Source organism: Homo sapiens, chromosome 10, assembly GCF_000001405.40.
Source record: "Homo sapiens chromosome 10, GRCh38.p14 Primary Assembly".
NCBI classification, from domain to species: domain Eukaryota; kingdom Metazoa; phylum Chordata; class Mammalia; order Primates; family Hominidae; genus Homo; species Homo sapiens.
Genome location: NC_000010.11, coordinates 103,292,171 through 103,317,023, shown reverse-complemented (window position 1 = coordinate 103,317,023; position 24,853 = coordinate 103,292,171). Strand labels below are relative to the sequence as shown.

Here is a 24,853-nt window from a genome sequence, read left to right as displayed (position 1 = left end):
AATAAAATAAAATAAAATTAATAAAACAATGATGGTACCAAATTCTTTAACTTTTTATGGATCTAAGTTCTCTGTGCAAGATCTCATATCATTACTTTCAAGTCACTTTGGAAATACCACTCTAAAAACAGGTGACAGGCTAGATTTGGCCCTTGAGTATGCCAACCCGGGTTCTATCTCATAATTCTATATAATCTCAGATTAGTAACAACTTTTGGATTTTAGACTTACTAGCTTTTAAATTGACAGAGTGGTATTTGCAAAATGAATTGAAAGCACAGCCACACCGTGGCTGCTTTTGTGCTATAACAGCTGAATTGAAGAGATATAACAGAGATGCTATGGCCCACAAAGCCTGAGGCATTTATTATTTGGCCCTTTGCAGAAACGGTTTGCCGACCCCTGAGATGGCATTTAGGCTTTGGAGAAAATTAGATCTTGGACAGACCTGGGTTTATATCTGAACTTTGCTATTTACTAGCTTTGTGATCTCAGGAAAGTTTAATGTCTTTACTTCTTAGTTTCCCTATCTGTAAAATCAGAATTGTAGTTACCTAATTCATAGGAATATGAGGATTAGATAACACATGTCAAATACATATGTAACTTATTGTACATAGTGGCTGCTTATTTAAATGCAGCTGCTATTACTGTTCTTTCCCAACCATGCTAAAAGTTTTTAGAGTTTAACATGTTGACAGTGTATAAAATTTATTGGAGTAAACAGTATTGAAGATAAGAAGTCTGGCTAGGAGGTAGTTTTAGTGGTTTAAGTCTATGGGCAGTAGTTGAAAGGTATGATATGAATTCAAGAGATAGGAAGAAAGAAGCAATAGGACTTTGTAATTGATTGCATGTAAGAAGAAAGGAAAAGGAGAAAGAGGAAGCAGAGGTGACATTCTGGTATGGAAGACAATGAGAAATTTCATACCATAATCTAAATAGTAATGTTAGGAGATGGAGCCAGTTAAGTGAGATATCTCTCTCTCTCTCTCTCTCTCTCTCTCTCTATATATATATATATATATACACACACACACACACACACACACACATATAAGCTGTTGAGGCTCTAACCCCATTTTAAGGTAATAGGAAGTAGTACTCAGTGAAAGATTAAAGATTTGCATTTCTATCTTAGCAAGTAAGTATAGTAGAGTCTTAATAAAATGTATATATACAACAATATTCTCTCTAGAGAATTCTATATAAAAGTCAGTATATTGGCCGGAGCACACTGGCTCACACCTGTGTTTTGGGAGGCCAAGGCAGGAGGATCACTTACGACTAGGAGTTTGAGACCAGCCTGGGCAATATACCGAGACCCTGTCTCTACAAAAATTGAAAAAAGAAAACCACACAATTGGCCGGGCACGGTGGCTCACGCCTGTAATCCCAGCATTTTGGGAGGCTGAGGTGGGCGGATCATCAGGTCAGGAGATCTAGACCATCCTGGCTAACACACTGAAACCCCGTCTCTACTAAAAATACAAAAAATAAGCTGGGCATGGTGGTGGGTGCCTGTAGTTCCAGCTATTCGGGAGGCTGAGGCAGGGGAATGGCGTGAACCCAGGAGGTGAAGCTTGCAGTGAGCCGAGATTGTGCCACTGCACTCCAGCCTGGGCGACAGAGCGAGACTCCATCTCAAAAAACGAACTAAAAAACACACAATTTGCCAGATGTGGTGGTGCACACCTCTAGTCCCAGCTACTTGGGTTGCTAAGGTGGGAGGATTGCCTCAGCCTAGGAGTTTGAGGCTGCAATGAGCTATGATTGGGCCACTGCACTCCAGCCTGAGTGACAGAGTGACACCCTGTCTGGGGGGAATAAAAAGATATATCTTGGAGCTTTGCAATTACCAAAGGGCTGAAAAGTCCTTGTTGAAATTGTTCCATCTACAAAACAGTTTCCTTAGTGTGAACTTCAAGTCAGTGTTGTACTATGATTTATGTGGCATTGTTGGAAAATGAGATATTCCTCCTAAGAGAATTTTTTCAAATAATGGATGATTGCCTTTTTAAGCATTAATACCTTTTAATGATTTTTTTTTTTTTTTTTTTTTTTTTTTTATGACAGAGTCTCGCTCTGTGGCCCAGGCTGGAATGCAATGGCATGATCTCGGCTCATTGCAACCAACACCTCCTGGGGTCGAGTGATTCTCCTGCCTCAGCCTCCCAAGTAGCTGGGATTACAGGCACCATGATTACCACCGTGCCTGGTTAGTTTTTGTATTTTTAGTAGAGACAGGGTTTCACCATGTTGGCCAGGCTGGTCTGGAACTCCTGACCTCAGGTGATCTGCCCGCCTCTGCCTCCCAAAGTGCTGGGATTACAGGCGTGAGCCACTGCTCCCGGCCTTAATGATTTTTATCACAGATATTTAAAAAGATATACTTTCCTTTGCTACCTGATGTTGAATACATCTAATTTGACTTAATTTCTTAATTAATGTCAAAATGAATTTCTTAATTAAAGTCTAAAATGACTTAATTTCTTTGAGATTCAGGGAAATCATTTTGAATATCAATTATACTGTGCTGTTGTCCTGCTGTATCCTCTAATGCTCTTCCCATGTTACCTTATTTACTTCTGTAAAAAGTTTCTAAAACTCTCTTTTCAAGAGCGTTTAATCAGTCTAAAATAAAATTACAAAATCTAGTTTGGAAACAATTTATGTTGATTTGTTTTCCTCATTTCTTCAGATGGTATTTTGAAGCAAGAAATCAATCTAATACTCTCTTCATGTCCATAGGTAGATATAATCTGTGGTGATCACCTGTTGGAGCAGTATCAAACTCTAAGGGAAATCCGACGTGCAATAGGTGATGCAGCAATGCAGGTAGGTTATAGACATACCCATGTCTAACAGATAAGTTACTTAGTGAAAGTTATCCATGTTATCAGTAAGTTTTCATAAATATTCTACAATACTCTTAAAATTACCTACACTATAAATAATAATTATATTTAATATTTATCAAATTCTTGCTGTGTGTCAGGTACTGTTCTAAGTAATTTATGTAGATTAGCTTATTTATTCTTCATAATTATTCTAAGAAAGCAGGCAGTTTTTTATTTCCCATTTTAAAGATAAAGGAAACTGAGATACAGTAAGGACATATAACTTCCTACAGTCAGTGGGTGAGACAGGGCTCAGACTCTAGGCAGTTTGATTCTAAAAGCCTTGTTTTTTTCCGCCTGTCCAGTGCTATAATACAATTTTGAAGGCTTCTAGGCCAATGCATCCAGAAGGACATTTCAAGAAAAACTTGCAAGTACTTATTAGGCTTTAGAGCCAAGTTTGTCCAACCTGTGGCCCTCAGGCCACATGTGGCCCAGGATAGCTGCGAATGGGGCCCAACACAAATTCATAAACTTTCTTAAAACGTGATGAGATTTTTTTTTTTCTATCAGCTACTGTTCGTACTGGTATATTGTATTTTTATTTATTCATTTTTTTGAGACAAGGTCTTGATCTGTTGCCCAGGCTGGAGTGCAGTGGCACTATCTCAGCTCACTGCAGCCTCTGCCTCCCAGGTTCAAGCAGTTCTCCTGCCTCAGCCTCCCTATTAGCTGGGATTATAGGCATGTGCCACCACACCCGGCTGATTTTTGTATTTTTAGTCAAAACAGGGTTTCACCATGTTAGCCAGACTTGTCTCAAACTCCTGACCTCAAGTGATCCGCCCACCTTGGCCTCCCAAAGGGCTGGGATTACAGGGGTGAGCCCCTCTGCCCAGCCTGTGTTAGCATATTTTATGTTGGCCAAAGACAGTTCTTCCAGTGTGGCCCAGGGAAGCCAAAAGATTGGACACCCCTGCTTTAGAGATTCACATAGCTTTTCTTATACAGTAGATAAGAACTCAAGGTAACTATTTTGATGTTTTAATTAACCTATAATGTGAGTGGGAATATAATGTGAAGTCTCTTAGTCAAAATAATAAAAACCAAGATAGGATCTACAAGTTTAATGAAGAGAAAATAGGACCACATATTCTAATGTATTTCTGAATCTATAGTGGAAAGTTGTTTTTGTTTTTGTTTTTGTTTTTGTTTTTGTTTTTGAGACGGAGTCTCGCTCTGTCGCCCAGGCTGGAGTGCAGTGGCGTGATCTCGGCTCACTGCAAGCTCCGCCTCCCGGGTTCACGCCATTCTCCTGCCTCAGCCTCCCGAGTAGCTGGGTTTACAGGCATGCGCCACCACGCCCAACTAATTTTGTGTTTTTAGTAGAGACAGGGTTTCTCTGTGTTGGTCAGGCTGGTCTCTAACTCCCGACCTCAGGTGATCCACCCACCTGGGCCTCCCAAAGTGCTGGGATTACAGGTGTGAGCCACCGCGCCCGGCCATGAAAATTGTTTTAAGAGCTATATGACTCTGAGAAGCTTATGAAGTACTAATGAAGATTTGATGAACTCTCAAACAAATTTTTGTTTGCTAGAAATATAATTCTTGGGGAAAAAAGGGCTTCTGCTGTGAGTGGCACACATAGGGCATCGTTTGCTCTTGGTGCCAGAATCAACATCAAGAGATTTCAGAAGCATAATTTTTTGGTACTTGGGCAGCTGGTGATCATTGGTCCTGTAGCCCTTACTTGTTGTGTAAATTAGACAGTTGTGACTTTTTTTTTTTTTTTGAGACGGAGTCTTGCTCTGTCAACAGGCTGGAGTGCAGTGGTGCGATCTCAGCTCACTACAACCTCTGCCTCCCGGGTTCAAGGGATTCTCCTGCCTCAGCCTCCCAGGTAGCTGGGACTATAGGTGCCTGCCACCACGCCTGGCTAATTTTTTGTATTTTTAATAGAGACGGGGTTTCACTGTGTTAGCCAGGATGGTCTCGATCTCCTGACCTCCTGATCTGCCTGCATCAGCCTCCCAAAGTGCTGGGATTACAGGCGTGAGCCACCATGCCCAACCGTGACTTTTTTTTTTTTTTTTTTTTTTGGAGACAGAGTCTTGCTCTGTCACCAGGCTGGAGTGCAGTGGCGTGATTTCGGCTCACTGCACCTCCTCCTCCTGGGGTCAAGTGATTCTAGTACCTCAGCCTGCCAAGTAGCTGGGACTATAGGTGTCCCACCACACCAGCTAATTTTTGTATTTTTAATACAGATGAGGTTTCACCGTGTTGGCGAGGCTAATCTCAAACTCTTGGCCTCAAGTGATCTGCCCACCTCAGCCTCCCAAAGTGCTGGGATTACAGGCATGAGCCACCACACGTGGCTGACAGTCATGGCCTATTGGGTAAATCCAGGTTTCTGCTCCCTCTTAGGGCTGTGTGGTGTGATGCACTGTTTCTAGGTTATGTGATTGGTTTGTTGTATTAAATGTTGTGGGTGATTATAACACAAGGACAAACATTTTGTGTATCTTAAGTATAGAAAACATATGGTAAATATCTCTATTAAAGACAAGAAATGCGGCTAGGTGCGGTGGTGGCTCATGCCTGTAATCCCAGCACTTCGGGAGGCAGGGTGGGAGAATCGCTTCAAGCCCGGGAGGTCGCAGCTGCAATGACCCATGAGTGGCTCTGTACTCCAGCTTGGGCAACGGAGCAGGACCATGTCTCAAAAAAAAAAAAAAAGAGAGAGGCCGGGCACAGTGGCTCACACCTGTAATCCCAGCACTTTGGAAGGCAGAGACGGGCAGATCATTTGAAGTCAGGAGTTCAAGACCAGCCTGGCCAACATCCTGAAACCCCATCTCTACTAAAAATACAAAAATTAGCTGGGCGTGGTGGCAGGTGCCTGTAATCCCAGCTACTCGGGAGGCTGAGGCAGGAGAATCGCTTGAACCCGGGAGGCAGAGTTTGCGGTGAGCCAAGATCGCACTACTGCACATCAGCCTGGACGGCAGAGCAAGACTCGGTTTCAAAAAGAAAAGAAAAGTGATTCTTGGCCAGGCATAGTCGCTTGCTCCTATAATCCCAACATTTTGTGGGGCCAAGATGGGAGGATCATTTGACCCCAGGAGTTCCAAGACTTGCCTGGGCAGTATAGCGAGTCCCGTCTTTACAAAGGATAGAAAAATTAGCAGACATGGTTGTGCATACCTGTGGTCCCAGTTACCTGGGGAGGCTGAGGCAGAGGGATTGTTTGAGTCCAACACTTCAAGACCAGCTTAGACAACGTGATGAAACCCCATCTCTACGAAATACAAAAATTAACCAGGTGTGGTGGCACATGCCTATAGTCCCAACTACTTAGAAGGCTGAGGAGGGAGAAGATTGATTGACCCGAGAGGTTGAGGTTGCAGTGATCCATGATCACACCACTGCACTCCAGCCTGGGCGACAGAGTAAGACCCTTTTTCAAAAAAAGAGAAAGAAAAGAAATAATATTTTTTTTTTTGGTATAATTGCCTATGTTCCTTTGTCTCAATGGAACAACTGCTCAAAAGAAGATGTGAATATTATAAGAATTATCTTTTTTTCTTGTCCTCACAATCTGTTCCCAAGAATTATTTTCTTAATGCAAATTATACAGTTCCTTGGAAGAAGCAGAAAATATACACATATGCATAGTTATATGTGCATAATGTACATATGATATATTTTAATTGACATATAATGAAATGCATGAGTTTCAACAAATACCTATTTGTTTAACTCAAACCCCTCCTTCACATACAGAACCTTTCTGTCACTCCCAGAGAGTTCTCTCATGCTCCTTCCCAGTTAATTCTTCTCCCTAGCACCAAGGCAACCATTGTTATGATTTTGTCACTGGGGATTAGTTTTCTCTTTTCTTTCTTTCTTTTTTTTTTTTTAAGACATGGTTGGGCCAGGTGTGGTGGCTCATGCCTGTAATCCCAGCACTTTGAGAGGCCGAGGTGGGGGGATCACCTAAGGTCAGGAGTTCAAGACCAGCCTGGCTAACATGGTGAAACCCCATCTCTACTAAAAATACAAAAAATTAGCCGGGCATGGTGGCGGGTGCCTGTAATCCCAGCTACTCGGGAGGCTGAGGCAGGGAATTGCCTGAACCTGGGAGGCAGAGGTTTCAATGAGCTGAAATTGCACCATTGCACTCCAGCCTAGGCAACAACAGCAAAACTCTGTCTCAAAAAAAAAAAAAAGAAAGACAAGGTCTCACTCTGTTTTGCCCAGCCTAGAATGCATGGAATGCAGTGGCACAATCATGGCTCAGTGTAGCCTCAACCTGGGGGGCTCAATTGATCTCTTCCCACCTCAGCCTCCCAAGTAGCTGGGACAACAGACGTTACAGATGTGCACCACCACATCTGGCTATTTTTTTTAATTTTTTGTAGAGATGGGGTTTTGCCATGTTGCCCAGGCTGGTTTTGAACTCCTGAGATCAAGCAATCAGCCATCTCAGCCTCCCAAAGTGCTGGGATTATAGGTGTGAGCCACCATGCCTGAACTCTGTTTCTTAAAATAGCAGTTTTGTTAAGATGTAATTCACATACTGTATTAGTCCATTCTTACATTGCTATAAAGAAATACCTGAGACTGGGTGATTTACAAATAAAACAGATTTAATTGTCTCACAGTTCTGCAGGCTGTACAGGAATCATAGCAGCTTAGCTTCCAATCATGGCTGAAGGCAAAAACATGATAGGAACCAGAAGAGAGAGAATAAGGAGGGAAGTGCTACACACTTTTAAACAACCATATCACACAAGACCTTATTCACTTTTGTGAGGACATTACCAAAGGGAAATTGTGCTAAACCATTCATGAGAAATCCAACCCCGTGATCCAATCACCTCCCACCAGGCCCCACCTCCAACATTGGGGATTACAATTCAACATGAGATTTGGTGGGGACACAGATCCAAACCATATCATTCCACCCAAATCATGCCCCCCCCCCACCAAATCTCATGTCCTCACATTTCAAAAGACAATCATGATTTCCCAATAGTCCCCCAAAGTCTTAACTCATTTTCAGCATTAACTCAAAATTCCATAGTCTCATCTGAGACAAGGCTAGTCCCTTCTGCCTATGAGCCTGTCAAATCAAAAACAAGTTAGTTACTTCCAAGATACAATGGGGGTATAAACATTGGGCAAATAACTCTCATTCCAAAAGGGAGAAATTGGCCAAAAGAATGAGGCTATATGTCCCCATGTAAGTCTGAAACACAGAACAGCAGCCATTAATTTTTTTATTTTTATTTATTTATTTATTTTTTGAGATGGAGTCTCTCTCTCTCTGTCACTCAGGTTAGAGTGCAGTAGTGTGATAGGCTCACTGCAACCTCTGCCTCCCAGGCTCAAGTGATTCTCCCACCTCAGCCTCCCAGCTTGGTGGGACTGCAGGTGCACACCACCAAACCTGGCTAATTTTTGTATTTTTTTGTAGAGATGGGGTTTTACCATGTTGCCCCGGCTGGTCTCAAACCCCTGGGCTCAGGCAATCTTTCTGCCTCAGCTTTCCAAAGTGCTGGGATTACAGGCGTGATCCACCATGCCTGGCTCTCATTAAATCTTAAAGCTCAAAATTAGCCAGGCATGGTGGTGCACTACTGTAATCCCAGCTACTTGGGAGGCTGAGGTAGGAGAATTGCTTGAACCTGGGAGGCAGAGGTTGCAGTGAGCAGAGATCACACCACTGCACTCCAGCCTGGGCAACAGAGCAAGACTCTGTCTCAGAAAAAAAAAAAAAGCTCTAAAATCTCCTTTGTCTCCCTGCCCTACATCCATGGTACACTGGTGCAAGGGTGGGTTCCCAAGGCCTTGAGCAGCTCCACCTCTGTGACCTTGCAGGGTTTGGCCCCCATGGCTTCTCTCACGAGCTGGTGTTGAGTGCCTATGGCATTTTCAAACTCAGGGTGCAAGCTCTCAGTGGGTCTACCATTCTGGGATCTGGAGGACAGTGGCCCTCTTCTCACAGCACCACTGGGCAGTTCCCCAGTGGAGACCCTATGTGGGGGCTCCAACCCCACTTTTCCCCTCCGCACTGCCCTAGTAGAGGTTCTCTGTGAGGGCTCTGCCACTACAGCAGGCTTCTGCCTAGACATCCAGGCCGGTCTTGAACTCCTGACCTCAAGTGATCTGCTCGCCTCAGCCTCCCAAACTGCTGGGATTCCAGGCGTGAGCCAGCATGCCTGGCCAAAAAGAACATTTTAAATTAATTTTATTTTTAAAAATTCAATAAAGATTTCCACAATAAACCATAGTCATTAAGTCTGCAAATATATATGCAGTTATGCGTCACTTAACAATAGGGATATGTTCTGAGAAATGCATTGTTAGGCAATTTAATGATTGTGCAAGCATCATAAAATGTACTCAGGTTAGGCATGATGTCTCACACCTGTAATCCCCGTATTCTGGGAGGCCGAGGCGGGAGGGTCACTTGAGCCCAGGAGTTTGAGACCAGCCTGGGCAACATGCTGAAACCCTGTCTCTACAAAAAATACAAAAACTGGCAGGGCATGGTGGCATGCACCTGTAGTCCCAGCTACTTGGGAGACTAAGGTGAGAAGATCACTTAAGCCTGGGAGTTCAGGGCTGTTGCGAGCTCTGATCATTCATGCCAGCCTGTGCGACAGAGCAAGACCCTGTCTCAAAATAATAAATGAATGAAATAAACAAACTTTCTTTCTTTTTTTTTTGAGACAGGGTCTTGCTGTGTGGTCTTGTCGTGTTGCCCAGGTTGGAGTGCAGTGGCATGAATATGGTTCACTGTAGCCTCAACCTCCTGGGCTCAAGCAATCCTCCTGCCTCAGCCTCCCGTGTGGCTGGTTACCAGAGGTGTGCCACTGGCTAATTTTTTTATTTTTCATAGAAATGGGGGTCTCACTTTGTTGCCCAGGCTGGTCTTGAACTCCTGAGCTCAAGTGATACTCCAACCTCAGCCTTTCAAAGTGCTGGGATTACAGGCATGAGCCATGAGCCACCACACCTGGCCTTGTGTTTAAATTTTTTTATTTTTTTATTTTTTATTTTTTGTTTGTTTTTGAGACAGGGTCTGGCTCTGTCACCCAGGCTGGAGTGCAGTGGCATGATCTTGGCTCACTGCAACCTTTGCCTCCCAGGCTCAAGTGATCCTCCCACCTCAGCCTCTTGAGTAGCTGGAAATATAGACATGTGCCACCACACCTGGCTAATTTTTGTATTTTTTGTAGAGACGGGGTCTCACTATGTTGCCCAGTGTGGTCTTGAACTCCTGGGCTCAGGTGATCCACCTGCCTTGGCCTCCCAAAGTGCTAGGATTATAGGCATGAGCCCCTGCACCTGGCCTTGAGTTTAAATTTCTTTAGATAGACATCTGCTCTCTCTGGTTTACCACTGGTCTTCAACATTCCCTATTGACTTCACATACCTAACTTATGTATTCATTTATGTTACTGGCCTGGGCCTTGTGGGCACTTGAATTTGTGAACCTTTTTCTAGAATTCTGGTGAGTTTTTACTGTAATTGCCAGGAACACAAACCAGATTGCAGTGAGTTGAGGAGTGAGGAAGTGGAGCCATGGAAAAGCTTAGCAAAGAAGCGAAGGAGAGTAATAGCCAGAGCAGCACTGGAAATACAGGATATATGAGCTGCAACCCCTTCTCTGTGTTGCTCAGTTCAGGTCTGTGGCACATTTCCCAATGACCTTTCCTTTTAGCTAGTTATCCAGTCTGCAGGAAATTAGAAATAGTCCCTTAAAAAGGTGGATTGCGGCCAGGCGTTGTGGCTCACACCTATAATTCCAGCACTTTGGGAGGCCAAGGCGGGCGGATCACCTGAGGTCGCGAGTTCAAGACCAGCCTGACCAACATGGAGAAACCCCATCTCTACTCAAAATACAAAAATTAGCGGTGGGTGTTGACGCCTGCCTGTAATCCCAGCTACTCAGGAGGCTGAGGCAGGAGAATCGCTTGAACCCGGGAGGCGGAGATTGCAGTGAGCCGAGATGGCACCATTGCACTCCAACCTGGGCAAGAGAGCAAAACTCCATCTCAAAAAAAAAAAAAGGTGGATTGCTTGCGGATGCAGCCTTGGTGAGAGCCAAAGAATTAAGATCTGGTATCAAGAAAGGAGATAGAACGCCACAAAAAGTAGATAAAAAGACTTGGACACATAGCATCTGGAATCATATAGTATGGGGGTTAAGTTGCCTAACTGCCCTGGGGCATTCTTTACTCTTTTAAAAAATTCTTTTTCCTTTTTTTTTTTTTTAAATTATATAAGTAGAGAGGGGGAGTTTCACCATGTTGCCCAGGCTGGTCTTGAACTCCCGGTCTCAAGTGACCTGCCCACCTCGGACTCTCAAAGTGTTGGGATTACAGGCATGAGCCACTGCATCCAGCTGAGGGCATTCTTTAAGGCAGAAGTAAAACATATATATTTTAGGCTTTCATTAAATGAGTAAGTGTTTCAGAGCTTTAGCAATTATTATAGTGGTGAGCTGCATTTATGTGGAAGTGAACAGATCTGCGATGCGTTGTAGTAGTTGAGTCTTTTTTAGGAGAATCTAATGCTTAAATAGTCTATTAAGAAGTCTAGGGCCGGGTGCAGCGGGTCACACTTGTAATCCCAGCACTTTGGAAGGCTGAGGTGGGCAGATCACCTGAGGTCAGGAGTTCGGGACCAGCCTGGCCAACATGGTGAAACCCCGTCTCTACTAAAATTACGAAAATTAGCCAGGCGTGATGGCGGGCCCCTGTCGTTCCAGCTGGTCAAGAGGCTGAGGCAGGAGAATCGCTTGAACCCGGGAGGCGGAGGTTGCAGTGAGCCAAGATTGCGCCATTGCACTCCAGCCTGGTGACAGAGCCAGACTGTGTTTCAAAAAAAAAAAAGTCTGGGCTGGATGCGTGCCTCACACCTGTAATCCCACACTTTGGGAAGCCAAGATGGGGGTATTGCTTGAAGCTCAAGAGTTTGAGACCAGCCTGGGTTACATAGCAAGACCTCGTTTATACTGGGAAAAAAAAAATTTTGAAGTAGCCAGGCATGGTGGCACATGCGTGTGTGTGGTCCCAGCTAGTTGCGAAGCTGAGGTTGGAGGATCACTTGAGCCTGGGAGATTGAGGCTACAGTGAGCTATGATCGCGCCATTGCACTCCAGTTTGTGTTTATGGCTACATGATAGTTTCAGAATTGGCTCCTGAGAGTCATTAAAAAGACACATTGACAAGCTGGTCTAGATGGCTCACGCTTGTAATCCCAGCACTTTGGGAGTCTGAGACAGGCAGATTGTTTGAGCCCAGCCTATGCAATACGGTGAAACTCTGTCTCCTACAAAAAATACAAAAATGAGTCTGGTGGTGGTGCGTGTCTATTTTCCCAGCTATTCATAAGGCTGAGGTGGGAGGATCGCTTGAGCCCAGGTGGTCAAGGCTGCAGTGAGTCCAGATTTGGCCACTGAACTCCAGCCTGGGCAACACAGCAAGACCCTGTCTTCAAAAAAAAAAAAAAAAGTGGGGCTGGGTGTCGGGCCAGGTGTTCTGGCTCACGCCTCTAATCCCAGCACTGTGGGAGGCTGAGGCAGGAGGATCATCTGAGATTAGGAGTTCAAGACCAGCCTGGCCAACATGGCAAAACCCTGTCTCTACTAAAAATACAAAATTTAGCTGGGCCTGGTAGCACGCACGTGTAATTGCAGCTACTCGGTAGGCTGAGGCAGGAGAATTGCTTGAACCTGGGAGGCATAGGCTGCAGTGAGCAGAGATCGCACCACTGTACTCCAGCCTGGGCAACAGAGCAAGATTCCGACTCAAAAAATAAATAAATGTATACATACATACATGCATATGATACATACGTACAAAAATTAGCTGAGTATGGTGGCGGGTGCCTGTAATCCCAGCTACTTGGGAGGCTGAAGCAGGAGAATTGCTTGAACCTGGGAGGCAGAGGTTGCAGTGAGCTGAGATTGCACCACTGCACTCCAGCCTGGGCAACAGAGTGAGACTCTGTCTCAAAAAAAAAAAAAAGCACATTCACAAGGAGTGTTTGGTGAATAAGAAACTATATGGTCCACTTATTTTCTTTAAATTAAAGAATTTCACCTTAGTGTTAGATTATTAAAAAAAAGTAAGCCAGCTTTGACTTGATCATTTGCATTACTGGTTTGAAAGAACTGCAAAATCGTCTTTTTTTCTCCCCTTTTCAGGATGGTCTGCTTGTCCTTCATTATGGTCTTGTGGTTTCTCCTCTGAAGATAACTTGAAGATTCTAGGCACATTATGAGGAGGGAAACAAAGGAGGCTTCTGCAGGACTGCATCTCACCAAAGATTTCCATGAAATGTAATTGCTACCACTTTGCTGTTCAAGACATAACTTACCTATTTTTAGCACCAAGAATTATAGCGTTTATAAGTACAACTTGGAACGATGGAATGCATCTGTTACTAGAGACTGTATATAAAAAGCAGCCAAAGCTCAGGGGAAATTTTTCAAAAATTGAATTTTAAAATTTCTTATGATTTTAAATACCTTGACATTGATTTTGCTTCCCATCTTTGAAGTAATTGGTTAGTTTTCTTTGTTCAGCCATTTCAAGTTGGTGGTTGGGATATCTGCTCTCTGGGATGGCATCAGTTGGGCAGTCATCTTTTTGGAAGAGAAGTGTGCTTTTGAGTGGAAGATTCAAAGCCAGTCTTTGTTAAACTGCAGGGTGTACTCTCAAAGACCAAAACTATTGGCCACTTTTGTATGTTGCCAGCATATTTTGAACTTGTACCTTTTTTTATACTAGCAACACTACAAAGGAGAAGTTACTCATTTCAAAATGGATGAATTGTTATTATGTGTGAAGAGACTCTGAGTTTATGATCTGTGCCATAAAATTTCAGTGTAATAAGACTTCTTCAATACATCTTCCAATAAGGGGTGCTTCTTTGTGACAGTATTTTTATTTCTGACATTCATTTTATTTGGGTACATAGTGTGGTTGTTGATACCTTGCAATAGTATTGCTTCTGAAAGTAATAAAAAATTTTAGGAGAATTTGAGAAGTTTACAGAATTACTTATTCATTGTTTTCTTAGTAAGTCAGTTTAATGTTTATTTTTCTCATTATTTCATCACTGCAATAAAGAATAAGGGTGTTTGAGCTCACCTCCATGCAAAGACTTCAGTTTTAAAACATTATTTGCCTAAAATTAGCATTGTGATGCTTTCTGAAAGAAATATTTTATAAATCCTGTTTAACAGCAGAATTTCTGAATGTGTAGAGACTACTACAAAATTGGAAAAAGATTGGCAATTCTTTGTAAAGAATTTGTGAATTGTGTATAAATTTATTCTAACATTTAATAAAAATGTATTTTAACCTATTTGGGAATGTTAGTGTTTACTGTGGGTTAAAAAAAAAATAACCAGGCCAGGGCTGGGTGCAGTGGCTCACGCCTGTAATCCCAGCACTTTGGAAGACCGAGGCAGGTGGATCACCTGAGGTCAGGAGTTTGAGACCAGCCTGGCCAATATGGTTAAGCCTCGTCTCTACTAAAAATACAAAAATTAGCTGGGTGTGGTAGCAGGTACCTGTAATCCCAGCTACTCAGGAGGCTGAGGAAGGAGAATTGCTTGAATCTGGGAGGCAGTGAGCTGAGATTGCACCATTGCATTCCAGCCTGGGAGACAGAGCAAGACTCCATCTCACAAAAAAAAAAAAAAAAACCAGGTCAGGCACTGTGGCTCATGCCTGTAATCCCAGCACTTTGGGAGGCCAGACGGGCAGATCATTTGAGGTCAGGAGTTTGAAACCAGCCTGGCCAACGTCTCTACTAAAAATACAAAAGTAGCTGGGCATGGTGGTGTGTGCCTGTATTCCCAGCTACTTGGGAGGCTGAGGCAGGAGAATCGCTTGAGCCCAGGAGACGGAGGTTGCAGTGAGCCGAGACTGTGCCACTGCTCTCCAGCCTGGGCGACAGAGTGAGTGAGACTCCATCTCAAAAAAAATAAAAAATAAGCCAGGCGTGGTGGCTCATGCCTGTAATCCCAGCACTTTGGGAGGCCAAGGTGGGCAGATCACTTGAGCTCAGGAATTCGAGACCAGCCTAGGCAACATAGCAAGATCCCATCTCTACAGAAAAAAAAAAAAAATTACCTGGGCATGGTGGTGAATGGCTGTAGTCCCAACTACTCAGGAGGATCAATAGCCTGGGTGGTCAAGGCTACAGTGAGCTACGATCCTGCCGCTGCACTCCAGCCTAGGCAACAGAGCAAGACACTGTCTCAAAAAAAGCCTGATCTTTAGTAGCTACTTAGAATGTGCCACTTGTAACAAGTGAGTTGACCGAGAGTTGAAGAGATGTTAATGTTTAAAGATTATTGTCTTCAGAACCCAGATTTTGTTGTTTTCAACATTACAGATTTTTTTTTTTTTTTTTGAGACAGAGTCTTAAGGCTGTCACCCAGGTGGAGTGCAGTGGCGTGATCTCACCTCACTGCTACCTCTGCCTCCCAAATTCAAGCGATTCTTGTGCCTCAGCCTCCCGAGTAGCTGGGATTACAGGCCTGTGCCACCACACACGGCTAATTTTTTTTTTTTTTTTGAGACAAGTCTCGCACTGTTGCCCAGGCTGGAGTGCAGTGGTATGATCTCGGCTCACTGCAACCTCTACCTCCCGGGTTTAAGCGATTCTCCTGCCTCAGCCTCCTGAATAGCTGGGATTACAGGCCACCCGCCACCATGCCTAGCTAATTTTTGTATTTTTAGTAGAGACGGGGTTTCACCATGTTGGTCAGGCTGGTCTCAAACTGCTGACCTCGTGGACCTCGTGATCCGCCCACCTCAGCCTCCCAAAGTGCTGGGATTACAGGTGTGAGCCAACGCGCCCGGCCACATTACAAATTTTGCCATTTCAGGGAAGAGATTATCCCCACAGAGACTCAACTGTAGACTTGGGGTAAGCATTCACTTACCCCCTATTTTCCTCAATAACCATCCCATTCATTACTGTAACATGGCAAAATACTTATCTCCTTAAAAGTAGAATATCAAATGTAATTATTTGATAAACACTTCTGTGATGAGCAAGTTAAGAGTGTCACTTGTTAGACATTGTGTGGACAAGAAGATTCAAAGAGGAGTGATCTGTCTTCAAGGAACTCACAGCCTATGGGTTACAACACCTCTAAGAATCTAATAAAAAGCAGTTATTGGTAAGTACTGTGAGTCAAAAAAATTCTACCTTTTCTTTTTTTTTTTTAAACAGAGTCTTGCTCTGTCACCAGGCTGGAGTGCATTGGCAAGATCTCGGCTTACTGCAACCTCCATCCTCCGAGTTCAAGCGATTTTTCTGCCTCAACCTCCCAAGTAGCTGAGATTACAAGTGCCTGCCACCGTGCCCGCCACCGTGCCCGGCTAATTTTTTGTATTTTTAGTAGAGATGGGGTTTCACCATCTTGGCCAGACTGGTCTTGAACTCCTGACCTCATGATCCACGCACCTCGGCCTCCCAAAGTGCGAGGATTACAGGCGTGAGCCACCGCGCCCGGCCTGTAGCTGTCTTTAAATAACCAGAAGGTCAAAAAATGAGGGAAAAACCACAAGTAAAAATTAGCCAGATGCTGGGCACCATGGCTCACGCCTGTAATTCCAGCACTTCGGGAGGCAAATGTGGGAGGATCGCCTGAGCCCAGGAGTTTGAGACCAGCCTGGGCAACATGGCGAAACACCGACTCTACAAAAAATACAAAAATTAGCCAGGTATGGTGGGGCGAGCCTGTAGTCCCATCTACTCAAGAGGCTGAGGTGGGAGTATCACTTGAGCCCAGGAGATGGAGGTTGCAGTCAGCTGAGATTGCACCACTGCACATAGCCCGGGTTACAGAGGCAGATCCTGTCTCAAAAAATAAAAATAAAAATTAGCTAGTTGTGCCGGGCGAGGTGGCTCACTCCTGTAATCCCAGCACTTTGGGAGGCCAAGGTGGGCGGATCACGAGGTCAGGAGATCAAGACCATCCTGGCTAACACGGTGAAACCCCATCTCTACTAAAAATACAAAAAATTAGCCGGGCATAGTGGCAGGCGCCTGTAGTCCCAGCTACTCAGGAGGCTGAGGCAGGAGAATGGCGTGAACCAGGGAGGCGGAGCTTGCAGTGAGCGGAGATCACGCCACTGCACTCCAGCCTGGGCGACAGAGCAAGACTCCGTTTAAAAAAAAAAAAAATTAGCTAGTCGTGGTTGTGTGCTCCTCTGATCCCAGCTACTTGGGAGGCTGAAGCAAGGAGATTGCTTGAGCCCAGGAGGTCAAGGCTGCAGTGAGCTACAATCATGCCACTGCACTGCACACTCCAGCCTGGGTGACAAAGTGAGACTCTGTCTCCTTAAAAAAAAAAAAAAAAAAAAAAACGCCCAGTCTTTTGTTGTTGTTGTTGTTGTTGTTGGTCTCGAACTCCTGACCCTCATGATCCGCCTGCCTCAGCCTCCCAAAGTGCTGGGATTACAGGCATGAGCCACCACACCCAGCTTTTTTTTTTTTTTTTTTTTTTTTTTTGAGATAAGGTCTCCCTCTGTTTCCCAGGCTGGAGTGCCGTGGCATGATCTCAGCTCACTGCAGGCTCCATCTTCCCCGCTCAAGGAATCCTCCCCCACCTCAGCCTCCTGAGTAACTGGGACTACAGGTGCCTGCCACCATGCCTGGCTAATTTTTGTATTTTTAGTGGAGTTGGGGTTTCTGTCCACCTCAGCATCCCAAAGTGCTGGGGTTACAGTCATGAGCCACCATGTCAGGCTCAAATGCCCAGTCTTGATTCACTCTGATTCCCCCACTTACCTGTTCTCACTTTATCTCTGCTGAAGGTGCACAAGGCCCGGATACATGTGTTAGTCTTATTGTCACCACCAGCACCATGCATTTAGTTTAGCTGAGATGAAGGTTTTTTATTTTATTAATTTTTTTTTGACACAGAGTCTCACTCTGTCTCCCAAGCTGGAGTGCAGTGGCTCGATCTCAGCTCACTGCAACCTCTGCCGCCTAGGTTCAAGCAATTCTCCTGCCTCAGCCTCCTAAAGTGCTGAAATTACAGGCATGAGCCACTGCGCCTGGTTGAAAGTTTTTTCAAAAGGAGTTTTTACTAGGAACAGAAACAGAAACAAAACTAGATACCCAAATCTGCACAAAAGTTTGCAATAGAGCATATGAAGTACAGATTCTAGAGCCTAACTTCAATGGCTAAAGAAAGATTTGTTTGATTGGGACAATTTGCAGGTCCTTTTGTTTTTGCCTAATCCCTATCTGAGGTAATATTAAGCAAAGATGCCCAGAGGAATAGTTCATGGTAGTTTTATTTTTTTTTTTAATTTTTTTTTTTTTTTTTGAAACAGAGTCTCATTCTGTCACCCAGGCTAAAGTGCAGTGGCACAATCTCAGCCGGCTGCAGCCTCTGCCTCCCAGGTTCAAGGAATTCTCCTGCCTCAGCCTCCCGAGTAGCTGGGACTACAGGCACTCACCACCACACCCGGCTAATTTTTGTATTTTTAGTAGAAACGGGGTTTCACTATGTTGGCCAGGCTGCTCTCAAACTCCTGACCTCAGGTGATCTGCCCTCCTTGGCCTCCCAAAATGCTGGGATTACAGGCATGAGCCACTGTGCCTGGCCATTCGTGGTAGTTTTAATTTGGCAGAATGAGTGCTTAGCAGTTTTCTCGTTTCTCCTTTAATGCCATCCCGTTTTCTCTGTAATATAGATCTCAGCCATTCCCGCTGACCTTGGGCGTCACTCTCCTTCCTCTGCACTGCCTTTCTCTGCTGCTTCAGTCAGATGCATTCTTACCTAGTTTCAACAGTTCTTCCTTTGGACTCCAAGCTAACACCGACCTGGACATACTCTATCCCCTCTCCTACAGAGACTTGGTTTAGGATTCCTGAAAGTAACACCTTGGACCCATGTATTTGTCCAATTCAGCTTGTCCAAAGTGTGTACCCTATTATCCACTCTTAGATAAGTGTTCTTATAATTTCACCAGGAGATATTTACTCATCAGATGTATTTGTAACTCACTGTTAAAATTTTTATTCTGTTTTTTCTTTTCTTTAAAACTCGCAGCTGGGTGCAGTGGCTCATGCCTGTAATCCCAGCACTTTGGGTGGCCGAGGTGGGCGGATCACAAGGTCAGGAGTTTGAGACCAGCCTGGCCAATATGACAAAACCCCATCTCTACTAAAAATACAAAAGTTAGCCGGGCGTGGTGGCGTGTGCCTGTAATCCCAGCTACTCAGGAGGCTGAGGCAGGAGAATTGCTTGAACCCGGGAGGCGGAGGTTTCAGTGAGCTGAGATTGCACCACTGCACTCCAGCCTGGGTGACAGAGTGAGACTGTGTCTCAAAAAAGAACCTCTAGTCATTGCAACCACTATGCTGTATTTTGTTATCTTGGAAACCTCTGATAATAGAGAAGATTCAAGCACATGCTGATTCTGAATGTTCATCTTTGTTTTCTTTAGTAGACCATGTCTTAAGAGGAAGTCCTATTTTTTATCCTTTTTCATTATGTTGTTGTGTATATGAGTTTGATTATTGGCTTCTCTTCACAACTGGACTAGTGAAATCTAAATTTTATTACCTGTAGAGATTAATAGTCCTCTCACAAATGAAATGACATATTGATCTCCCGAAAGCCTGCCAAGTAGTTACTTACACAGAATGGGTATTATGGCTTGATCGATACTGCATTTTGATTTGGTGCTGATGGTGTCTGTGGTTTTACAGGGCTTCTTATTATGACACCATTTTCATTGAAATGAGAAACAATTTTTTCTTCTGAGGTTTCTCAGGAAACATTTTCCCTGAGAGAAAAGCTAGTTGAATAATATTTTAAATTAGAAGATGAAGAAAAGGCTGCCAGGAACATTTTTTTTCCCTGAACAGAAATAAAGGCAGGGAGCTGGGCACGGTTCTTTGTGCCTGTAATCCCAGCTACTCGGGAGGATCACTTGACCCCAGGAGTTCAAGACTGCAGTGAGCTATAATTATAACACTGCACTCCAGCCTGGGCGGCAGAATGAGACTCTGTCTCTTAAAAAATAAGTAAAATAAAATAAAATAAAATAAGACATAAAGGCAGTATTGCATAGTCGTTAAGGACACAAATCATAGAGCCAGACTACAGAGCTTAAAATCCCCGCTGTAGGCCAGGTGTGGTGGCTCACGCCTGTAATCCCAGCACTTTGGGAGGCCAAGGCAGGCAGATCACCTGAGGTCAGGAGTTTGAGACCAGCCTGACCAACATAGCGAAACCCCATCTCTACTAAAAATATAAAAATTAGCCGGGCATGGTGGCAAGCACCTGTAGTCTCAGCTACCTGGGAGGCTGAAGCAGGAGAATCACTTGAACCCAGGAAGCAGAGGTTGCGGTGAGCCAAGATCATGCCACTGCACTCCAGTCTGACTCTGTCTCAAAAACAAACAAAAACAAAAAAACAAACAACAAAAACAAAAAACAAAAACATAAAATCCCAGCTTTGCTGCTTGCAAACTCTGTGATCTTGGACATATTATTTAACTTTTGTAAACTTTAGTTTTTCTTCTCTGTAAAAGGGAACAATGGTACCTAACTCAAGGGGTTGTCATGAGAATCAAGTGAATATATAAAGCACTGAGAACAGTACCTGGCACAATCTATTATCAAGTTCAAATATGGTCCTTACATACTCACTTCTCAGATTACTTTGCTGAGTTAGTTCCTTTCTGATGAATAAGAGGGTCCATTAATATTACAAGATTGCTGTTGAGCCATCTATTTTTTCCTTTCTTCTTACATATTTATCATCTTACCTGCTTCTATCAATAACCAGGAAAGAGATGGGGATACAGCTTGGCGATCAACATCTCAGGAGCAGAAGTTGGACCTGCATTCTGCTTTCACCCTAATTCCAATCTTAGCTCTTCTGCTTCTGCTTTATGACCAGATTATTCCATGGACAGACAGTTTCAGTTGTCAGAAAGAGTTCCTGTTGTTGAGCTAAAGTCTTAGTTTAAGATAAAGTATTGTTTAGCCCTAAAGAATATCAGGAATTTTAAATGTCGTGTATGAATTCTTATCCCAGGAAACCATGGAAGATTGAAATTACACCTCTCACTTATTCATACATGTAGCATAGCAAATGAACCTGTGAGTTAAATTTGTTTTAATAAGCACTTCTAAGAAAATATGCTATTTTTGCCATGTGCAATAATCAGCAATTGACTAAAAGCTGCCACTCGTTAGTATTCCAAAACTCTAGTCCTTATACAAATGATCTTGGTTACACTCTACTGAGCATTCTATAACCCTTAGGAGTGTATGATAGAACTAGAATGAAATGTCTCAGACCCAGAACAGAGACCATTTGCCTCATTATGGGAGAGAATAGCCATGTGGTGATCCACAGTGATTAATCAATGAGGAAGCAAGCCTAGAGACCCCTCTAACTTCAATCTTCAGTTTTCTTTGTAGCTTGAGCTTCCTCTGTTTTGTTTCATTCAGAATCCCTGAGACACTGCAAAAAAATAAGTCTTGAAATATCTGCAGTGTGACTCACTCCATTTTATCATAATTCTGCTGTGTGTATGTGTGTGTGTGTATGTGTGTGTTTTAAAGGGAATGTAAAAAAGGGTTTATAAATCTTAGCTGGTCTCCGCCCCCAGCTAGTAAGCCTGTGAAATATCAGCATAAAACATAGGGGAAATCAAACCATCTTATGGGAGATCAACAAAGGAGGAGAGAAGCCCTTTGATCTATATAGTAATCACTCTCTTCATTCTTTAAGAGTATGCAGCAGGGCATGGTAATGTAATAAAAACAGTCCTTTATTTGCTAGATTCAGGAGCACCCACCCTTTTGAAAATGGCAGGTGAGATATTTGAAAATCGCAAAATGCATGATGACTTCAATGTAACCCGTACCTTAAGCTTGAAAATTTCGCAAAGCCAGTATTGTGTGTTCTATAAAGAAAAATCAAATGTCACATATGAGTTCTGCTTTAAACGCCCATGAAGCCCACTCTCTGTTATTTCCATTTTAAATTACTGTGCTAATTTTCAGGTACAGGCCAGGTGCGGTGGCTCACACCTGTAATCCCAGCATTTTGGGAGGCCAAGCCAGGCAGATCACTTGAGACCAGGAGTTTGAGATCGGCTTGGCCAACATGGCAAAACCCCGTCTTTACTAAAAATACAAAAATTAGCCGGGTGTGGTGGCACATACTTGTAATCCCAGCTGCTCAGGAGGCTGAGGCATGAGAATCACTTCAAACCAGGAGGCAGAGGTTGCAGTGAGCCGAGATCGTGCCATTGCACTCCAGCCTGGGCAACAGAGCAAGACTCTGTCTCAACAACAACAACAACAACAACAAAAACAAACACAAAAACACACATCAAAAAAACTTTCAGGTACATAAACTTATTTTGTTGTAAGAAAAATGAAAGTATTCTTTTTTTTTTTTTGAGATGGAGTCTCACTCTGTTGCCCAGGCTGGAGTGCAGTGGCTCTATCTCTGCTCACTACAAGTTCCGCCTCCTGGGTTCATGCCATTCTCCTGCCTCAGCCTCCCAAGTAGCTGGGACTACAGGTGCCTGCCACCACGCCTGGCTTATTTTTTGTATTTTTAGTAGAGATGGGTTTTCACCGTGTTAGACAGGATGGTCTCGACCTCCTGACCTTGTGATCTGCCCGCCTCGGCCACCCAAAGTGCTGGGATTACAGGCGTAAGCCACCATGCCCGGCCAAAAAAATAAAAGTATTCCTACAATTTAGGTGTTTTTCAGGAACTTAGAGACATCTGATGATATAATAATAAAAATAATATTAGTTGAAATTTAGTGATGGTACTTATAAGTAAGCAACATTTCCAGCTCTGCGTGCGTGTGTGTGTGTGTGTGTGTGTGTGTGTGTGTGTGTGTGTGTTTAAACCCATTTACATCCAGAGAGATTTCTGGCTTTTTCTTTGGGCTCTGTTTTGAAATCAATACTCTTTTTTTTCGTTTTTTTTTTTTTTTTTTGAGACGGAGTTTTGCTCTTGTTGCCCAGGCTGGAGTGCAATGGCATGATCTTGGCTCACTGCAACTTCCGCCTTCTGGGTTCAAGTGATTCTCCTGCCTCAGCCTCCCAAGTAGGTGGGATTACAGGTGTCCCCCACCATGCCTGGCTAATATTTTTATATTTCTAGTAGAGATGGGGTTTCACCATGTTGGCCAGGCTGATCTTGAACCCCTGACCTCAGGTGATCCACCCGCTTTGGCCTCCGAAAGCGCTGGGATTACAGGCATAAGCCACCACGCCTAGCTGAAATCAATACTCTTATTAGATCTGGTTTATGTTTTCCTAATGGGATTCCTTCTAACGGGGATTGACCCAGGGTGGCTATACACAGTGGTCTCAGCTGGAGCAGAAAGTGTATGAGACGTTCATGATTATATTTTTCTGATAGTTCCATAAATTTCCTACCAGTGGGTTTGTTTTTTGTTTCGTTTTTTTGAGATGGAGTCTTGCTCTGTCACCAGGCTGGAGTGCAGTGGCCCGATCTTGGCTCACTGCAACCTCCGCCTCCTGGGTTCAAGCGATTCTCCTGTCTCAGCCTCACAAGTAGCTGTGACTGCAGGCGTGCGCCACCATACCCAGCTAATTTTTGTATTTTTAGTAGAGACAGGGTTTCACCATGTTGGCCAGGATGGTCTCTATCTCTTGACCTCGTGATCTGCCTACCTTGGCCTCCCAAAGTGCTGGGATTACAGGCGTGAGCCACCATGCCTGGCCAAATTTCCTACCAGCGGGTTTTTAAAATTGAGGTGAAATTTATATAACATAAAATCAATCATTTTAAAGTGAATGATTCAGTGGCACTTAGTGCATTCACAATGTTGTGCTGCCACCACCTCTATCTAGTTCCACAACATCTTCATCACACCAAAATAAAACCCCATATCCGATGAATAGTCATGCCCCATTGCCCCCTCTCTCCAGCCCTGGCAACTTTTTTTTTTTTTTGAGACTGTGTTTTGCTCTAGTTGCCCAGGCTGGAGTGCAACGGCACCATCTCAGCTCACTGCAACCTCCGCCTCCCGGGTTCAAGCGATTTTCCCACCTCAGCCTCTTTAGTAGCTGGGATTACAGCTGCCTGCCACCACATCTGGCTAATTTTGTATTTTTAGTAGAGATGGGGTTCCACCATGTTGGCCAGGCTGCTCTCGAACTCCTGACCTCAGGTGATCCACCCGCCTCGGCCTCCCAAAATTCTCGGATTACAGGCGTGAGGCACTGCGCCCAGCCAAGCCTTGGCAACTTTCAGTCTGCTTTTTGTTGCAGGTTTGTATTTTGTTTTTTGAGACACGGTCTCACTCTATCACCCAGGCTGGAGTGCAGTGGCACTATCATGGCTCACTGCAGCCTCGACCTCCTGGGCTCAAGCAATCCTCCCACCTCAGCCTCCCAAGTAGCTGGAACTACAGGTGTGCACCACCACGCCCAGGTCATTCTTGTATTTTTTGTAGAGAGAGGGTTTTACCATGTTGCCCAGGCTGGTCTTGAACTCCTGAAGTCACGTGGTCCACCCGCCTCAGACTCCCAAAGTGCTGGGATTACAGGTGTGAGCCACCACACTTGGCCCCAGTTGATTTTTAAATACTCTTTTTTTTTTTTTTGAGACACAGTTTCACTCTTTCACCCAGGCTGGAGTGAAGTGGTGCGATCTCAGCTAGCTGCAACCTCCACCCCCTGGGTTCAAGCAATTCTCCTCTCTCAGCCTCCCGAGTAGCTGGGATTACAGGTACGTGCCACCACATCTGGCTAGTTTTTGTATTTTTAGTAGAAATGGAGTTTCACCATGTTGGCCAGGCTGGCCCTGAACTCTTGACCTCAAGTGATTCACCTGCCTCAGCCTCCCAAAGTGCCAGGATTACGGGCGTGAACCACCGCGTATGACCTTAAATACATTTTAAAAGCTATTTCATGTTTGTCCTTAGAGCCATTAATGGTG

The 24,853-nt window shown here is 44.1% G+C and overlaps 1 protein-coding gene and 1 pseudogene across 3 annotated transcripts in view; both read left to right on the top strand.

Annotated features, from left to right (window-relative positions):
- PCGF6 (polycomb group ring finger 6) overlaps positions 1-14,228 on the top strand; it is a 48,345-nt gene extending 34,117 nt beyond the window's left edge. For 2 of the 3 annotated variants that reach the window (NM_032154.4, NM_001011663.2), the window contains 2 exons: positions 2,752-2,838; positions 13,063-14,228. In NM_032154.4, the coding sequence (NP_115530.2) occupies positions 2,752-2,838; positions 13,063-13,119 (144 nt within the window). In that variant the 3' untranslated portion in view covers positions 13,120-14,228. Of the gene's footprint in view, positions 1-2,751; positions 2,839-13,062 lie in introns of those variants that run through there. The other variant, XM_047425832.1, reaches the window with a different exon arrangement.
- Positions 4,456-4,588, top strand: RNU11-3P (RNA, U11 small nuclear 3, pseudogene; annotated as a pseudogene).